Genomic DNA, 18,393 nt, shown 5'->3' with positions numbered 1-18,393 from the left:
TCATCTTCCCGTTATCCATGTCTATGTCCAAATTTGCCCTTTTTATAAGGACACAAGTCATATAGGATTAGAGCCCACCCTAATGACCTCATTTTAACTTGATCATCTGCCAAAGACCCTATCTCCAAATAGGGTTAATCTCTGAGGTTCTGGGGGTTAGGATTCCAACTTACCTTTTTGGGGGGTGGCAGGGAGTGGGGGGAGACACTGCAACCTATAACAGTGCTAAAGAGCTTCCCGGAGTGGTTGTACTAATTTACACTATTTGCTGGAGTATTTTAAAGCTAATTCCAGACATGAAATCATTTGCCTTGGGAGTGTTTTTTGTTTGTTTGTTTTGTTGTGTTTTTTGAGACAGAGTCTTGCTCTGTCACCCAGGCTGCAGTGCAGAGACACAGTGGCATGATCTCAGCTCATTGCAATCTCCGCCTCCGGGTTCAAGCGATTCTCCTGCCTCAGCCTCCTGAGTAGCTGGGACTACAAGTGTGTGCCACCATGCCTGGCTAATTGTTTGTATTTTTAGTAGAGACAGGGTTTCACTGTGTTAGCCAGGATGGTCTCGATCTCCTGACCTCGTGATCCGCCTGGCTCGGCCTCCCAAATTGCTGGGATTACAGGTGTGAGCCACCGTGCCCAGCCAGGAGTGTTTTTAAAGGAGGAAAGACCTGGTCTGGTTTACAATTTTATTATTTATTTATTTATTTTTGAGACAGAGTCTTGCTCTGTCACCCAGGTTGGAGTGAAGGGGCGTGATCTCGGCTCACTGCAACCTATGCCTCCTAGGTTCAAGCAATTCTCCTGCATCAGCCTCCGGAGTAGCTGGGACTACAGGCGTGTACCACCACACCTGGCTAATTTTGTATTTTTAGTAGAGACGAGATTTTGCCATGTTGGCCAGGCTGGTGTTAAACGCCTGGCCTCAGGTGTGTCCGCCTGCCTCAGCCTCCCAAATTGCTGGGATTACAGGCATGAGTCACCACACCCGGCCTGGCTTACATTTTTAAATGATTCTATTTGTTCTGCGGAAATGTTAAAACAAGGAAAATATTTCATCAAGAAAGAAAGGGTAGCCGGGTTCGGTGACTCACGCCTGTAATCCCAGCACTTTGGGAGGCCAAGGCGGACAGATCACAAGGTCAGGAGATTGAGACCATCCTGGCTATCATGGTGAAACTGTCTCTACTAAAAATACAAAAAATTAGCTGGGAGTGGTGGCGGGCACCTGTAGTCCCAGCTACTTGGGAGGCTGAGGTAGGAGAATGGCGTGAACCCAGGAGGCGGAGATTTCAGTGAGCCGAGATCACACCACTGCACTCCAGCCTGGGCGACAGAGCGAGACTCAAAAAAAAAAAAAAAAAAAAAAAAAAAAAAGAAAGAAAGGGTAAATAAAGAGTGAGCCCTCCCAGGACTGCCCAGTTGGGACTCTCTGGTACCCCATGGTAGAGAGAAGCCTCTGGGTGCCCTTAGCTCAGGGATGCCATTCAGAGACCGAGTGGACGATCCCTCACTGCCCAGTGCCAGATCGCCATGTGGAGCAGCTTCCTGGTTTCAGCCCCTCAAGGTTCAGGTGATGCAGAGAGGATGAAACCCAGCCAGGACTCAGGCTATCTTTCTGTCCACCCCACTCCCTGCCAGGACATACAGCAGCTCCTCCAGCTCCAGCAGCTGGTGCTTGTGCCAGGCCACCACCTCCAGCCACCTGCTCAGTTCCTGCTACCGCAGGCCCAGCAGAGCCAGCCAGGTAAGGCCCCCACCCCAGATGGCCTCCCTGACGCCTCCACAGAACTTCCTCACCTTCCCCTCCCCCTCACCCTGTGTATTTCCCCTTGTCTTTCCAGGCCTGCTACCGACACCAAATCTATTCCAGCTACCTCAGCAAACCCAGGGAGCTCTTCTGACCTCCCAGCCCCGGGCCGGGCTTCCCACACAGGTGAGACTGTCCATTGAGTGCACCAGGCCAGGCCAGCAGCAAGGCCTGCTGAAAGCTGGGTAAACGGGGGTGGGGGATGAGTGAGAGTCTCCTTTCCATTTGACCCAGCCACACTCTGCCAGTGATTTGCTGTGAGACCTCAGGCAAGCCCATCTCCCTGTCTGGGTCAGCCTCTTCCTCTATAGAATGAGGGGAGCTGGCCCAGACAAGTGGTTCTTAACCCTTTCTAGTACATGAGCTCCTTTGAGAATATGATGAAAGATTTAGATCTGATCCCCATTCCCCCAAAATGCTCATGTGTAAAAACACACAAAATTGCAAGGGGCTGCAAGCCTTTAGGCTGCAAATGCCTCGGGCCTCTTCCAGCACTGCAACGGAGGATTCTCTGAACAAGGCATTCGTTAGGTGATTATTTCACATCCACTTCCCAGACTGGAGACTGAAAACAAGGCCCACAGGTGTCTTTTATTTGGTCATTGTCAACTAAATTCCCAGAAAGCACCACATTTCCAGCTCCTCTTGATAAACCAGAAAATCTGGCAGGGCTGTACCTGTGTCTACGTGGTGGCTTGGCGCAGTGAGCAGTTGGCCTGGCCACTGGCAGGAGCAGAGGCCCCTTAGAGAGGGTGCCAGCTCTCCAGGCCACCTTGGCACCTGGACCCCGAGGCCTTTCTTTCAGTTTGCTGCCTGAGTTCTAGACTTTAATGATAATTTTCACTACCTTTTATGAATTTCAAAGTTTTTTTCTACCCATTTTTTATAGCCCTTTAAAAAAATATATGTGAACTATTTCAGAAGGACTGACTGAAGAGTTAGAGACTAATACAGGTCTTAACTGCAGTTCTGAAATCCCAAATGCTCAGAAAGTCAAGTTGTTCTTCCACCATTGGCATGAGAACTCATTTGACTGCAAAACCTGCCCTGCCATGATATAAGCCAGTGTATGACTTTTCTTTGTCCCTCTTGGTATGGCATTTTTGCTGCTGCAAAACTGTTACTGTATCTGATTAAGGAGTAATATTCTTGACCCTAGTGGGGGTGGGGGCCGGGCCACATTATCTATGATATACATCCTATGTAGGCTTTCTTTCTTTTTGTTTTTTTTTTTTTTTTTGAGATGGAGTCTCGCTCTGTTGCCCAGGCTGGAGTGCATTGGCTCAATATCAGTTCACTGCACCCTCTGCCTCCCAGGTTCAAGCGATTCTCCTACCTCAGCCTCCCAAGTAGCTGGGATTACAAGCATGCGCCACCACACCCAGCTAATTTTTGTATTTTTAATAGAGATGGGGTTTCACCATGTTGGCCAGGCTGGTCTCGAACTCCTGACTTCAGGTGATCCACCTGCCTCGGCCTCCTAAAGTGCTCGGATTACAGGCATGAGCCACTGTGCCTGGCTGCCTATGTAGGTTTTCTGAAAACTGAAACAGGCACGGTGGTGCATGCCTATAGTCTCAGCTACTTGTGAGCCTGAGGCAAGAGGATCACTTGAGCCCAGGAGTTTGAGGCCAGCCTGGGCAACATAGCAAGACTGGTCTCTAAAACAACAACAACAACAAAACCTGAGAGGGGTGAGAGTGGGTGGATGATGAGAAATTACTTAATGGGTACAATGTACACTGTTTGGGTGATGGATACACTAAAAGCCTACGCTTCATCACTACACAATACATTTGTGTAACAAAATTGCACTTGTATCTTTTAACATTTTGTTTTTTGTTTGAGACAGGGTCTTACTCTGTCACCCAGGCTGGAGTGCAGTGGTGTGATCACAGCTTACTGCAGCCTCAGCCTCCTGGGCTCAAGTGAAGCAGTCCCCAGCCCTCCTGAGTTGCTGGTACTACAGTCACGCCCCACATGCTTGGTTAATTTTTAAAATTTTTGTAGAGATAGGGTTTCGCCATGTTGCCCAGGCTAGTCTCAAATTCCTGTGCTCAAGCGATCCTCCCACTTTGGCTTCCTAAAGTATTGGGATTACAGGTGTGAGCCATTGCACTCGGCTGTCCTTAAATTTATACCAAAAAAAAAAAAAAAGGCAGGGCGCAGTGGTCACCCCTGTAATCCCAGCACTTTGGGAGGCCAAAGCGGGTGGATCACCTGAGGTCGGGAGTTCGAGACCAGCCTGACCAACATGAAGAAACCCCATCTCTACTAAAAATACAAAATTAGCCGGGTGTGGTGGCGTATGCCTATAATCCCAGCTACTCGGGAGGCTGAGGCAGGAGTATCACTTGAACCCAGGAGGCAGAGGTTATGGTGAGCCAAGATCGCACCATTGCATTCCAGCCTAGGCAACAAGGGTGAAACTCCATCTCAAAAAAAAAAAAAAAAAAAAAACTGAAAAATTCCTAAACATCTGCCCCAGCATTTTGGAGAATAATGGATAAAGGACCTGAGCGACAAACATCCCTGTACCCACCACCTGCTTCATATCCTTTATTGTTAGGGCAATGAAGAATCCCAGATAGAGCTGTTGCTTTTTTGTAAATCTCTCTAATTGCCCTCCCAGTCCTTTTTTTTTTTTCTTAACTTTTACTTTATTTGCAATCTACTCATTGCTTAGGACTTAATTTCTTAAGAGCTGTTTTAGATTCACAGCAAAACTGAGTGGAAGATATAGAGATATCCCATCTATCTCTGCCCCTACACATGCACAGCTTCCTGCATCATCTACATCCCCAACCAGAGTGGTACAAGCGTAACAGGTGATGAACCTACATTGACACATCACTATTACCCAAAGTTCATAGCTGACATTAGGGTTCACTCTTGGCATTGTACAGTCCATGGGTCTGCACGACCTACTCATTTTTAACCCGATTCTCTCAACAGCCCCACTGGGTAGACAGAACAGCAGTGATTGTTCCCATCCTGCAGAGGGGGAAAGTGAGGCCTGGGCTAAGCAGTGATTTGGTGGCAGGGCCAGTCCCTGATTCCCAGGTTGAGATGAGGATGAACCACTGCCTCCAGCTCCAGGGAAAGAGCCCTGGCACAAAAAGCTGGCTGCTCCTTCTGGGAGTTCGCAGGCGTGAAGGGACAGTGCAGAGAGTCCCAGGCAATGAGGAAACCCATGTAGGGCAGCAGAGTCGGACCTTTAAAGGGATTAACAGTGCATGTGGAGGGACCTTTAAAGGGATTGACGGTGCTTGTGGAGGAAGGCGGGGGGAGTCTGCAGGCGGCGGATGGAACGCAGGGGCGAAGAGGGCGGGAGGGGGACTGTGCACCCATCGCTGAGCCCCATCCTGGTCCTCCGCCCTGCATCCCACCCACCTGCCCACCCCACCAGGCCGTGACCCGCCCTACGCTGCCCGACCCGCACCTCTCGCACCCGCAGCCCCCCAAATGCTTGGAGCCACCATCCCACCCCGAGGAGCCCAGTGATCTGGAGGAGCTGGAGCAATTCGCCCGCACCTTCAAGCAACGCCGCATCAAGCTGGGCTTCACGCAGGTCTGGAGGCACCTTGCAGGCTGGGCGGTGGGCGTGGGGGCGTGGCCAGTTGATAGATGCCGCGAGGGGCGTGGCCAGTGGGCGGGCGGAGCGGGCCCAGTGCCGGAAGGCCCCACCCTGACTTCGGGCCCTTCCCCGCCCCACTGGCCCAGGGTGATGTGGGCCTGGCCATGGGCAAGCTCTACGGCAACGACTTCAGCCAGACGACCATTTCCCGCTTCGAGGCCCTCAACCTGAGCTTCAAGAACATGTGCAAACTCAAGCCCCTCCTGGAGAAGTGGCTCAACGATGCAGGTGGGACCAGGCTGGGGTTCCCGCGTAGGGGGCGGGCAGTGGCCGCTGGCCGCGGGAGGCCCCTTCTCATGCTCACGTCTCCCCCGGCGCACAGAGACTATGTCTGTGGACTCAAGCCTGCCCAGCCCCAACCAGCTGAGCAGCCCCAGCCTGGGTTTCGACGGCCTGCCCGGCCGGAGACGCAAGAAGAGGACCAGCATCGAGACAAACGTCCGCTTCGCCTTAGAGAAGAGTTTTCTAGCGGTGAGGCCCCCCTCTCCTGGGTGGCCCTCACCTGAGGGGTGGCGGGCGGTGGGCCTCGGGCTAACGAGCCCTCTGCCTGCAGAACCAGAAGCCTACCTCAGAGGAGATCCTGCTGATCGCCGAGCAGCTGCACATGGAGAAGGAAGTGATCCGCGTCTGGTTCTGCAACCGGCGCCAGAAGGAGAAACGCATCAACCCCTGCAGTGCGGCCCCCATGCTGCCCAGCCCAGGGAAGCCGGCCAGCTACAGCCCCCATATGGTACCAAGAGCCCGCCTGGGGGGTGGGGAGACCACAGAGCTCCGCAGGCACCTGTGTGAAGCCCACCCTACCTGGTTGTCCACAGAGCCTAGAACAGAGACAAGAAGAGTCACTCTTGGAGACAGGCCATCACGTAGATGGGCACAGTTACACAGGGACGGTTTCCAGGGAACTGTGGTCTTACATGGGGGATACAAGCACCCCTAGATACACACCGACATAGCCAGACACAGAGTTATCACAGTGCCATAGCCACACAGGAAGGGATATATGTCCAGGGACGTGGTCCAGGTTAGAACACACAGGCTCACAACCACACAGAGGCAGGGAGAGGCACTTATTTGCCGTTCGGGGAAATTGTCACACCCATGGGTGTACTCTCAGGTCCACAGCTATACACAGGCCCACTTGATATCAGACACAGCTGGGACATCCTTTATCCCATCCTTTTATTTCCATTTCTGGGAAGAGCTGTGATGCTCCAGAGAGGAGCCCCTGCCCCCATCGGTGTGAAGGAGGCACTGTCTGAACTGAGTTCTAAAGGACAAGGGAGAGTTAGCCAGCCACAAGAAGGCAAAGAGCCTTCCTGGACCAGTGTGTACTAAGGCCTAGAAGCCAGGGTGTGCCCAGCCCAATTTGAGAAACTCCAGTGCAATTTAGTGTGGTTGGTGCTGCAGTTTATATGAATGAGGTTGGGGAAGGAGTGGGGGCATGTACCCCAAGTTTTACAGTGAAGAGCTGGAACTTGAACCATGGGCAGTGAGGAGGTAAGGAGTGGTTTTGAGCTGGGGAAGGAGAGAGTCACATTTAGTGAGGTTTCTGGGGCTGATGCAAAGGTGAGACTGGAGGTGGGGTGGCCAAGAAGGAAGCTGATGGTCCCAGAAAATCAAGTAATATGACATCTCAACACCCCGATGCAAAGATATGCATCCATTTAGCCTCGCACTTTAGATCTGCTCTTTCCCTGCCTGGGTCACTTTGAACAGTCTCTCCTGCATTGCTTGCCAACCCCACTGGTAAAAGGGTGGTGTTTGCTTGTCCAGGGAAAAGAGTTTTAGTTTTGCAGAACCAACAATATCAGGAGCATGTGGAGCAGCCACTCTTCCGGTGCAGTCACTTCAGACAGGACACAACCCTGCAAAGACTAGCCAGATGGGGCGGTGTCAGAAGAGAGGTGGGGAGTGTTCTCAATGGAGAATTAGCCCTTCCTGCTTGTGGCTCAGGATCAGCTAGGGCAAGTGTGAAGAAAGCATGTGGAATAATACAAATGCAGCATTGTGCCAAAGCCCCCTGCCCCCATCCTGGGACGGAGGAGTGGGGTCCTACAGGGAGCATCACGGGGGCTGCTGGCAGACAGTGGCTAACCACACCTCCTTTCTTCTCTCCTCAGGTCACACCCCAAGGGGGCGCGGGGACCTTACCGTTGTCCCAAGCTTCCAGCAGTCTGAGCACAACAGGTCAGGGAGGGCAGAAAATGGTGAGGGGGGACTGGGAGGATGTGGCACAGGCTGGAGCCTGAGGTTCCCAAGTGGCTCTGGGTGTCCATGGGCCTCAAGACTGGGCCTGGGGAGTGTGGGTGGGGGAATGGGAGAGACAGTGGGAAGAGGGTAGGACTCACCCCTCCTCTGCAGGAGCAACTCAGCTTTAATCTGCTTCACGATTTCATATGAGAAAAGCATGGGCCTGGTAAAAGGTGAGGCACTTGAGTTTTGTGCCTGGCCTCTGTCATTTTTAAGCTGTGTGAATTCAAGCACTTATTTTATCCTTCTAAGCCTCAGTTTTTATTAAATTATTATGAATGTGTAAAACATAAAAAGATATAAATACATGTATGTAAGAGTGTATGTGTATGTACATATACACACATACATGCATACATACATAGTCTTGTATCCAGAGTTCCCCTCCCTCTTCCTGGGACACGGTAGGTTTATATGTATGGTTATACACCATATATATAATAATAATATAAAATTCGCTGGGTGTGGTGGCTTATGCCTATAATCCCTGCTCTTTGGGAGGCCAAGGCATGTGGATCACCTGAGGTCAGGAGTTCGAGACCAGCCTGGCCAACATGGTAAGCCCTGTCTCTACTAAAAATACAAAAATTAGCTGGGCGTGGTGGCGTGTGTCTGTAATCCCAGCTACTCGGGAGGCTGAGGCAGGAGAATCACTTGAATCCGGGAGGAGGAGGTTGCAGTGAACTGAGATCACACCACTGCACTCTAGCCTGGTGACAGAGTGAGATTCCATCTCAAAAAAAAAAAAAAAAAAAATATATATATATATATATATATACACACACACATAATATATATATGCATAATATATATACACATAATATATATACACATAAAACAACACGTTGCCCCTCCCCAGGCTAGAAAATAGTAAGTGGAGATTTATAAAGTAGTAAGTGCTTGCCTGGCACTGTACTAAACTCTTTCTAAACTGCATTGACTGACTTAATTCTCAAACTCATTTTATGAGATAGGGTCTATTATTATCCCCATTTTCCAGACAAGGGATCTGAAGGTCAGAGAGGTTAAGGCACTCACCCAAGGGCACCACTGGGATGAGACAGAGCCAGGAGTTTCTACCCCAGCAGTCTGGCTGAGTCTGGGCCCTCAGCCCCTGCCAGGTTGCCCATCCCTCAGATGTGGCAGTGTGCCTGGCACCCTTCGCCCCTCCCCAGCCCCTAGAGGGAGCCATAGGGCTTTGTCTCCTGGGCACCCCCGTTTCTAGTCGGTAAAAAAGTGGTTCAGGGCAGGGAGTGTAGAGTGCCAGGGCTCAGCAGGAAGCACCTGCTCTGACTTCCATTGTTATGACAGGGGTCACCATGGCAGAGGCACAGGGAAATGACTCTGGGAAGAGAGGGCAGGGAGGTCTAAGGCTGTTCTGACTGAGGAGATGCTGCGTGAGCTGGGCGGGAGGACAAGTAGGAGCTGACCCCAGGTTCCTCAGTGGGGGACGAGTGGAAGCTGAAGACCCCATCTTTCTGTCTCTCTCTGGCAGTTACTACCTTATCCTCAGCTGTGGGGACGCTCCACCCCAGCCGGACAGCTGGAGGGGGTGGGGGCGGGGGCGGGGCTGCGCCCCCCCTCAATTCCATCCCCTCTGTCACTCCCCCACCCCCGGCCACCACCAACAGCACAAACCCCAGCCCTCAAGGCAGCCACTCGGCTATCGGCTTGTCAGGCCTGAACCCCAGCACGGGGTAAGTGGGTGCACGTGGGAAGCTGTGGGGAGAAGCAGGGTCGCTGCTGCTTCTAGGGTGGGGAGCGGCACCCCAGTTATGTTGGCAGGTCCCTGCCCCTGCTAATGCCTCTGCTTTGCCTCTTGCAGAAGCACAATGGTGGGGTTGAGCTCCGGGCTGAGTCCAGCCCTCATGAGCAACAACCCTTTGGCCACTATCCAAGGTGCGTGCTGCCTCATGTCACACCCATCGTCACCAGCCCTATCCTCTGGGGCCTCGAGCCCTGCCATTGCTGCTCCAGCCATGCCATCCTGCCCCTGCTCACTGCATTGCTTGCCTCTTCATACCCATCTCACCTTTGGGGAAGGTGTGAGGGGTGCTGATGGGGGTCAGTGGGACCGATGGGGAGATGGGGGGCACTCTGGGCAGGATGCTGGAAGGCAAAGGTCTCCCCTGGCCCGGCATGCCCTTAGCCCAGCCTCTCTCTCTCCCCGCCAGCCCTGGCCTCTGGTGGAACCCTGCCCCTTACCAGCCTTGATGGCAGCGGGAATCTGGTGCTGGGGGCAGCCGGTGCAGCCCCGGGGAGCCCTGGCCTGGTGACCTCGCCGCTCTTCTTGAATCATGCTGGGCTGCCCCTGCTCAGCACCCCGCCTGGTGTGGGCCTGGTCTCAGCAGCGGCTGCGGCTGTGGCAGCCTCCATCTCCAGCAAGTCTCCTGGCCTCTCCTCCTCATCCTCTTCATCCTCATCCTCCTCCTCCTCCACTTGCAGCGAGACGGCAGCACAGACCCCTGGAGGTCCAGGGGGGCCCGAGGCAGGGTCCAAACCTGAGTGAGGGCCAGCCATGCCTCCCCTCCCATTCCTCTGGTCCCTGCCTTGGTCCCTTGCCTGGGAAGAGGGCGAGGAGGCCAGTGGTGGGGACGCAGAGGGTCCTCAGAGCAGGAGTGACAAGGGAGGAAAGACCAAAAAAACAACCAACCAAAAAAAAAAAAAAAAAGGAAAGAAACTAACCAACAAAAGAGAAAACCAAAAATAATCACAACAGAAACCAGCTGCCCCAAAGGAACCAGAGGTGAAAAACAAACAAAAAAAAACCAAAAACAAACCAAAAAAAAAAAAAACCCACAAAATCAAACAAACCAAAAAACCAGTCGCGAGCCAGACCTCAGCGTGCTCACCCTCACTGCTACGACGCCAAATAAAAACCCCAGCCAGGGGCGGAGAAGCCTCCAGCAGGTCAGACCTCATGCCACCGAGCCCTGGCTGTGGGACCAACCCCCAACCCTGCCTCCCCCGTGGGGGCTACAGAAGGAAAAAGAGAAGATGCCAGCTTCCTAATCCCAGCCCCCAGCCCTGGGCCAGCGAAGACAGGGCACAGCCTGGGCAGATGGGCTGGGGCTTAGCACCACCCACCAAATGTTCTTTTCCAGAAGGTGAAAGAGAAAGGGCCTGAACAACCTTACACCAAATATTCAGTAGCTTCATCCAAAGGATGTACAGAATTTTTAGCATTGTGCTCAACAGAATGTGTCCCTACCATGTGTCCCCTTCTCCCCTGGCCCCCAGCTCTCCCCACCTGGGCAGGGGGTCTTGCTTTAACCTCCTCCCTCCCCCCAGCAGGGGAGAGTTCAAGGGAAGGCCTGCGGACAACTTTTCATCCCCTGTTCCTCCCTCTTTTCCCCTTTGAAGGGTGGGCTAGGCCATTTTGCCAAGTTCTAGCTCTCACAAGTCCCTCCTCAACCCTGTCACCCTCCTCTGCTCTGGAACTGACTCCCTCCCCAGCCTATGGGAAGGTGGAAATTTCAGGCAAGAGGGGATGAAGACATTCAGTTGAGGGCATTCAGTTGTCTTTTTCCATCCTGTCTGTTTCCCTGAAAAAAAAAAAAATTCATATTCCAGTGCCTATCCGTGGGATCCTTCACGTTCTTTGACATTAACCAGAAACCAAAAAGAGAACTCACCTCGCTTTTCCCACCCTGTGCCCCTCTGGTACTGGCGAATGCCTCTCCCTCCCCCCACATGCACGCACGCACACACCCCAGTGGTGGGGTTCCTCGAGATGGCATCCCCATCAGGGTCCATGTGGTGGGGACAGTGCCACAGCCTGTGGTCCCCATCTGAGAGGGCGCGGTGGTGGCCACCACTCCCACAAGACCTCCACAACTCTTGGCTGGACCCTGTGTTTGACCAGCCCCGGACACGTCTCCACTGACGACGGACAGAGGAGAGACACCACTGGGAGCCACCCTGCCCTCCTGCTATTGTGGAGGCCAACAAAGTTTTGAACCGAAAACCAAAAAAACAGAAACAAACAAACAATAAATTTAAACTAGAAAAAAAATTTATATATATATATAAACATATATATATATATATATATAAAAGGGAAAGAAGATGAGGACTCTTCAAGAATAAGATGGAACCGCGAGGCGGAGCCAAGCCCCTGCACCGGTGGTCCAGGCCCTTGTTCCCCAAGGCGGATGGAAGGACGGATGCTTCTTTCTCTTCACAAATACCTCATGGACGTTGTCTTTGGGAAAGCCGGAGGGGGCGGCTGGGGCAGGGCCTGTCCCTCGGCCAGGGCAGATGGAAGCGGGTGGGCGGGGCTGAGAGAGGGTATCAGGGACAGGGGTGAAGAGCCCCAAACTCCCCTCCCAAATCAACTGAAAAAGCTTTAAAAAAAGACAGGAAAAAAAGGAGTAAGAAAGCAAAAAGAACAGATGAAGGAAAACTTAACAACTTTTGGGTGGTTTGATTCCTCCTTTGATTTCTTTTTCGGTTCTCTTTTGTCTGACCTCTCTCCTCCCCTCCTTCCTCTCTCCTCCCCTCCTTCCTCTCTCCTCTCCTCCTTCCTGTCTCCTCTCTCTCCCTTTGCTCTCCTCTCTTCTCTCTCAATCTTGTTCTTTCTGTGTCTCTCCTCAAACCAAAGTGTTGCAGTGAAGGACACGAGCCATTGAAATCAGGGTGGGGCCTGACAGCCGTAGTGTGGCCCCTGCCCCTTGTTGGGCAGGAGCAGAGAGAGAGGAGAGCCCTGAGACCGCAGGGCTTTGGCCTGGGCAGCTTCCACTTTCTGCCGGACACTCTGAGGAGAGGCAGATGGAGCTCCAGGCCTCAGCGTTCTCTTTTTTCCTTGTCTCCCTTCTCCCACCCGGGAAATGAAACTGTTGGGCTGGGCGACGGAGGCAGCAGAGACTCGGCCATTGCAGGGGCCTCTGGGTGCCTTGTCCGGGCAGTGGTGAAGTAGCCGCCCCTCCCACCCCGGCACGATGGGGCCTGGCACCTCGTCTACCCAACCTCACCGGAATGTAAGCATCTCCGCTGAACGACTCCCTGCCCTTACCCTACCTCTGAGTTTGTCCATGTTTATTTCCTGAAGAGAGAAGGGACTGGCAAGAGGGCTTGGGCCCCAGCCCAAGGGTGGAGAGGGGGCCAAGGGCTCCTGACCAAATAGGAAGGACATTTGAGCAGAGCAAAATGAAAGGAATTACAACCAAAAACCCCCTCCGAGAAGACAGGCAGCATGGAAGGCATGGTGGAGATGACTCAAACAAAAACTATGATTCTAGACCAAAAAGGAAAAAAAAAAAAAAAAAAGGAAAGAAAATCCAGGACTCACCACCACCCACTTCATCCTGCTTCCTCCCCATCAAGTCCCACCACCTGGGACCTCTCCCCACCCCAGTATGTGGGAGTGGGGTAAAGAGGAGAGGAGGAGCAGGGGGCAGGGATGGGGCAGATGCCCTGATGTTGGTGGAGGGACCCCTGTGCAGCCGGGGGTGCTGGGGACCCTCCCCATCCAACCCTCACACCTAGGAAAAGAAAAACAAGAAAAAAAAATTCCTGGGAGGGGGAAAAATAACCAAATCCCAAGCTTTAACTACAGCTGTGAAACCAAATATTGGGAAGGGGGTAGGAGGGAGGGAGGGGCAGGTGAGCCCCAGGTCTCCCCCTGGGCCCCCCTCCCCTGAGGACTCGAGATAAGGCACCAAATACCTCATAGAACTTTAATGTTAAAAAAAGGAAACCAAATATCGTTGGCTGGGGGCCAGCCAGGGCAAGGGGCTGGGGGGCTGGAGGGAGCCAGGGTTGGGAAGGTGATGGGGGAATTCATGCCCCCCACCCCCATCTGCCCCTTACACTCTGGTCCCCCGTCTCGACTCCGGGAAACAAAACTATCTCATCGTTTTTATTTTGTGGTCTGTACAGAGCCTGTGTCCGTGTGTCTGTGTATGAGCGAGAGAGTTGGAGGGCTGGGGAGCTTTATGTGGGGGATGGGGAGGGCAACCCCAGGCTAGGCTATGGGCTAGGTTAGATGTCCGAGGTTGGGGGCCAAGGGCCTGGGCTAGAAAGAGAGGAGAGATGAGTGGGTTGGAGCAGTGGGGAGCCCTCTGAATTTCTCTTCTCCCCAACCCTGACCTCCTACTTAAGGGAGGGACAGAGACTGGGTCTACCCTAATGGTGGGCCTTTTCATTGTGCCAAAAAAAAAAAAAAAAAAATTGATGCCAGTAACTAAACCACCTCTCTCTGTTCTCTTCTGGGGGGTGGGGTGGGTGTGTGTGTGGGGGTGGGTAGGGATGGGGAACCCAAGCCCCAGTAGGAGTTGGGGCTGAGATCAGGAGGAGGGGAAGGATATGAGTTTTCCATCCATCTCCCTGGAGAAGGCCATGACGGGCTCTCCAAGCCCTGGGGAGATCTGGCGAGGGACTAGCCAAGTCAGGGTGACCTCTTGACCTGACTAGTTTTTCTAACCCACATGAACACCAGGGTGCCTCTCTCTTCCTCTAGCCCAGGGTAGGGGGACCTGAGTGAGAGAGAGAGTGAGACAGACAGCAAGATTGAGACACGCGGGCCCCCACTGGTCTCTGAGTGGGAAAGGCAAGTGCGAGAGATAAAGGCCTCCAAGAGAAAAAAGAAACAAACCAAAGATTTAACCATTTAAAAAAAAAAAAAAACCCACAGACAACTCCGCTACCTTTTTATATGTTGGAAAAAAAGTGAAAAAAAATTAAAAATAAAAATAAAAAAAAATACACAAAAACTCCAAGCCGCAAGTCCTTCATGCGGTTTAAACTTTGACCTCAGCAGTCTCCAAAGCAAGACGACGATGACAAAGGCGGAAACAAAGAAAAAATAATGTATATTTTTAAGTATTTGTCCTTGAATTGTTAGCTCCTTGTTAAACAAACAAAAGGAGAGAAAAATCCAGAGAGAAGTGTTGCTGGGATGGAGACAACTATTTACTATGTCTGTGACCCCTCCCTTCTGCCTCCCTCCCCTTCCTCTCTTTCCTGTCCTCTATCCTTGCTGCCCCTCCCCCAATATGTCCCCCAAACCCAGGGGCTCAGTATTTATTTATTTATATAATTGCAGGGTGACTGGGGGCCTCTCTCGGCAACTCGTAGAGAGCCTTTGGATAATGGCAGGGTGGGGAATGGGCGAGGAGTCTTTGGGAAGAGCAGGGGCCTGAACTTTCAACTCCTTTCTGGCCTCTTGTCCCACTGCTTCCACCATCACCTTCCAAATCCAGGGCTGCACTAGGGCAAGGTGACCACCCTACTTGGTAAAGACCTGATTGGCGCAGCCCATTCTGGTGTGGGTGTCTTTCACCACCCAGAATGACCAGGTTGGAATGGGGGTGGGTGAAGTTGGAGGGGGTGGCAAGTACAAGGCAAGGGTGCCCAGGAACCGGCATCCAGAAATCAGCCCTGGAGTAGACCTGCCTTTCCTCCATCCTTACCAAGTTAGCCTCCCTTTCAGTTCCGTCTGACCCCTGTGTTGGTAGCCCCTTCCTTCCCTTCCTGTACCCCCTCCGTCTCTTCTCGTGGTAGCGGGTTAGTGTTTCAGTGTTCTTAACTCCAATCTGCTTGTTCATTGTACAATGTGCTTCTTTTAAGGCCCCATTTTTGTAACTTGAGTGTGTCATTCATCTGAACAACAAACATCAAAAAATAAAAAATTAAAAACTGTACAGAGAGAAATGATGCCTACTCTCCCTTGGTCTCCTCTCTGTCCTGGGAAGAGTGGTGAAGAAATCAGGGTGTGGGGTTGGAGATCTGTATGCTGGGGAGGGGAGGGTTTTACTTCTGTTCCAATAGTGAATGTTCACAGTCTGGGCAACATAGAACTCTTCTCTAAAAAAGCCCCAAAAACTCAACTCGGCATGGTGGCATGTGCCTGTTGTCTAGTCCTAGCTACTTGGGAGACTGAGGTGGAAGGATTGCTTGAGCCCGGGATGTCAAGGCCGCAGTGAACCGTAATCGTGCCACTGCACTCCAGTCTGGGTAACAGAGAGAGACCTTGTCTAAAAAACAAAAAAAACAAAAACAAAAAAAATTAAATTTTAAAAAATAGTGAATGTTTGGAAGTAAAACCTGCACAAATGTTCTTGCCAAAGAACCAAGTCTTTGAATTTAGGATGAATTCATACTTCTGAATTCAAATCTCAGTTCTGCCATTTTATAAATATATGACCTTCAATATGTGAGCTTCTGTGTCCTCATCTGTAAATAAGGGACAATACCTACCTCACAAGGTTGTAGGATGATGGTCTAAGTAAAGTGCTTAGGACTGAGCTCCAGCACACTGTCTTCAATATATGAGAACTATGAGAAAGCCAGGAAACCAGCAAATACCTCTCCATTTCCATCCCTGGATGCTTCCCCAGAGGACTAAAGAGACTCTTTAAAACCAGAGTTTCAATTAACACATTAAAAAGTTTCAACCTCACAAATAGTCAAATAAATTAACAGAAGAGTTATATGTCATTTTTTCACATCACCAAAAAAATGCAAAAAAAAAAAAAAAAAACACCCAAAAACAAACAAAAATGCCGGGAGCGGTGGCTCATGCCTGTAATCCCAACACTTTGGGAGGCCGAGGCGGGCGGATCACCTGAGGTCAGGAGTTCAAGATCAACCTGGCCAACATGACGAAACCCCGTCTCTACTAAAAATACAAAAATTAGCCGGACGTGGTGGCGCACGCCTGTAACCCAGCTACTCGGGAGGCTGAGGCTGGAGAATAGCTTGAATCCGGGAGGTGGAAGCTGTAGTGAGCTGAGGTCGTGTCACTGCACTCCAGACCAGGCGACAGAGCGAGACTCCATCTCAAAAAAAAAAAAAAAAAAGTCCGGGTGCAGTGGCTCAGGCCTGTAATCCCAGCACTTTGGGAGGCCGAGGCGGGTGGATTACGAGGTCAGGAGATCAAGACCATCCTGGCTAACACGGTGAAACCCCGTCTCTACCAAAAATACAAAAAATTAGCTGGGCATGGTGGCAGGCGCCTGTGGTCCCAGCTACTCAGGAGGCTGAGGCAGGAGAATGGCATGAACCCAGAGTCAGAGCTTGCAGTGAGCTGAGAATGTGCCACTGCACTCCAGCCTGGGCGACAGAGCGAGACTCCGTCTCAAAAACAAACAAACAAAAAAAACAGGCTATGTGTGGTGGCTCATGCCTGTAACCCTAGAATTTAGGAGGCCAAGGCAGGAAGAACCCTTGAGCCCAGGAGCTCGACACCAGCCTGGGCAACACAGTGAGACCCCATCTCTACAAAAATTGAACAAAATTGGGCCAGGTATGGTGGCTCACGCCTGGAATCCCAGCACTTTGGGAGGCCAAGGCAGGTGGATCATTATAATGGTCAGGACTTCGAGACCAGCCTGGCCAGTATGGTGAAACCGTCTGTACTAAAAATACAAAAATTAGCTGGGCGTGGTGGTGTACGCCTGTAGTCCCAGCTACTTGGGAGGCTGCGGCAGAAGAATCACTTGAACCTGGGAGGTGGAGGTTGCAGTGAGCCAAGATTGTGCCACTGCACTCCAGCCTGGGTGACAGAGCAAGACTCCATCTCAGGAAAAAAAAAAGCTGTTGCGTTTCCTCAGCACTGTTCCATCCTCTAATGTATGCTTGGCACACAGGTGCTGGGATCCTGCAAAGTCGATAGTGAGGGTTGGGGGAACTGAGGCACAGGAAAAAGGAATAGAGTGAAAGACAGGTTTCATATTTAGTAAGACAAAAAGTGTCAGCATTGCAGTGTTTTGGCAAGACAAAGAAAGCAAAGCCCCTCAACTCTCAAAACAAATCAACAGGGATGGGACATAAAAATAGTACATGGAGGAAGATCATTTGGTTCAGGCCCATCTTCAAGGTGGCACAGTCAGAACCAAACAGAACCCAAGACGCCATCTCTACAAAATAAAGTAGCCAGACGTGGTGGTGCTCGCCTGTCGTTCCAGCTACTTGGGAGGCTGAGGCAGGAGGATCACAGGATCACTTGAGCCTAGGAGGTTGAGGCTGCAGTGAGCTGTGATTGTGCAACTGCATTCCAGCCTGGGTGACAGAGCGAGACTCTGAAAAATAGAAAAAAACAGGCCAGGTGTGGTGCCTCATGCCTCTCATCCCAGCACTTTGGGAGGCCAAAATGGGATGATCCCTAGAGGCCAGGAGTTTGAGACCAGCCTGGCCAACACAGCAAGACCCCATTTTTAATAAAAAGATAAAAATAAAACCTAACACAGGAACAGAAAACCAAACACCACATGTTCTCACTCTTAAGTGGAAGCCGAACAATGAGAACATGTGGACACAGGGAGGGGAGCATCACACACCAGGACCTGTCAGAGGGTGAGGGGCTAGGGAGGGATAGCATTAGGAGAAATACCTAATGCAGATGACAGGTTGATGGGTACAGCAAACTACCATGGCATGTGTATACCTATGTAACAAACCTGCATGTTCTGCACATGTGCCCTAGAACTTAATTAAAAAGAATACTCCAAATCCTAGGATTTGGAACTATATATATGTATATAAACATTAAAATGTATGTTTGTATGTCTATAGAGTAAAACAAACTATAAAAAAATCTTTATATACATATATATTATTTACTGTATCTATTGTGTAATTTATATACATATAACAGGTAGGATACACACATACACACACACGCACATAACCTGATTTTTTTTTTGTATAAACAGAACCCTAATACATTAACTTTTCAAATGTTATGTCATTTATTTTACAA

General features: G+C 51.2%; 1 protein-coding gene across 31 annotated transcripts in view; it reads left to right on the top strand.

Annotated features, from left to right (window-relative positions):
* The window catches only part of POU2F2 (POU class 2 homeobox 2), a 111,827-nt gene extending 96,480 nt beyond the window's left edge, over positions 1-15,347 (top strand). For 9 of the 31 annotated variants that reach the window (XM_047438955.1, XM_047438954.1, NM_001393934.1 and 6 more), the window contains 10 exons: positions 1,636-1,741; positions 1,839-1,930; positions 5,262-5,375; positions 5,528-5,669; positions 5,764-5,912; positions 5,995-6,171; positions 7,562-7,628; positions 9,187-9,388; positions 9,517-9,590; positions 9,866-15,347. In XM_047438955.1, the coding sequence (XP_047294911.1) occupies positions 1,636-1,741; positions 1,839-1,930; positions 5,262-5,375; positions 5,528-5,669; positions 5,764-5,912; positions 5,995-6,171; positions 7,562-7,628; positions 9,187-9,388; positions 9,517-9,590; positions 9,866-10,200 (1,458 nt within the window). In that variant the 3' untranslated portion in view covers positions 10,201-15,347. Of the gene's footprint in view, positions 1-1,635; positions 1,742-1,838; positions 1,931-5,213; positions 5,376-5,527; positions 5,670-5,763; positions 5,913-5,994; positions 6,172-7,561; positions 7,629-9,186 lie in introns of all 31 variants that reach the window. The other 22 variants (XM_047438963.1, XM_047438966.1, XM_047438964.1 and 19 more) reach the window with 8 other exon arrangements.

The sequence above is a fragment of the Homo sapiens genome, chromosome 19 (genome assembly GCF_000001405.40).
Source record: "Homo sapiens chromosome 19, GRCh38.p14 Primary Assembly".
In the NCBI taxonomy this organism is placed as follows: Eukaryota; Metazoa; Chordata; class Mammalia; order Primates; family Hominidae; genus Homo; species Homo sapiens.
The sequence above is the reverse complement of the archived record's forward strand: the minus strand, read 5'-3'. Positions and strand labels throughout refer to the sequence as shown.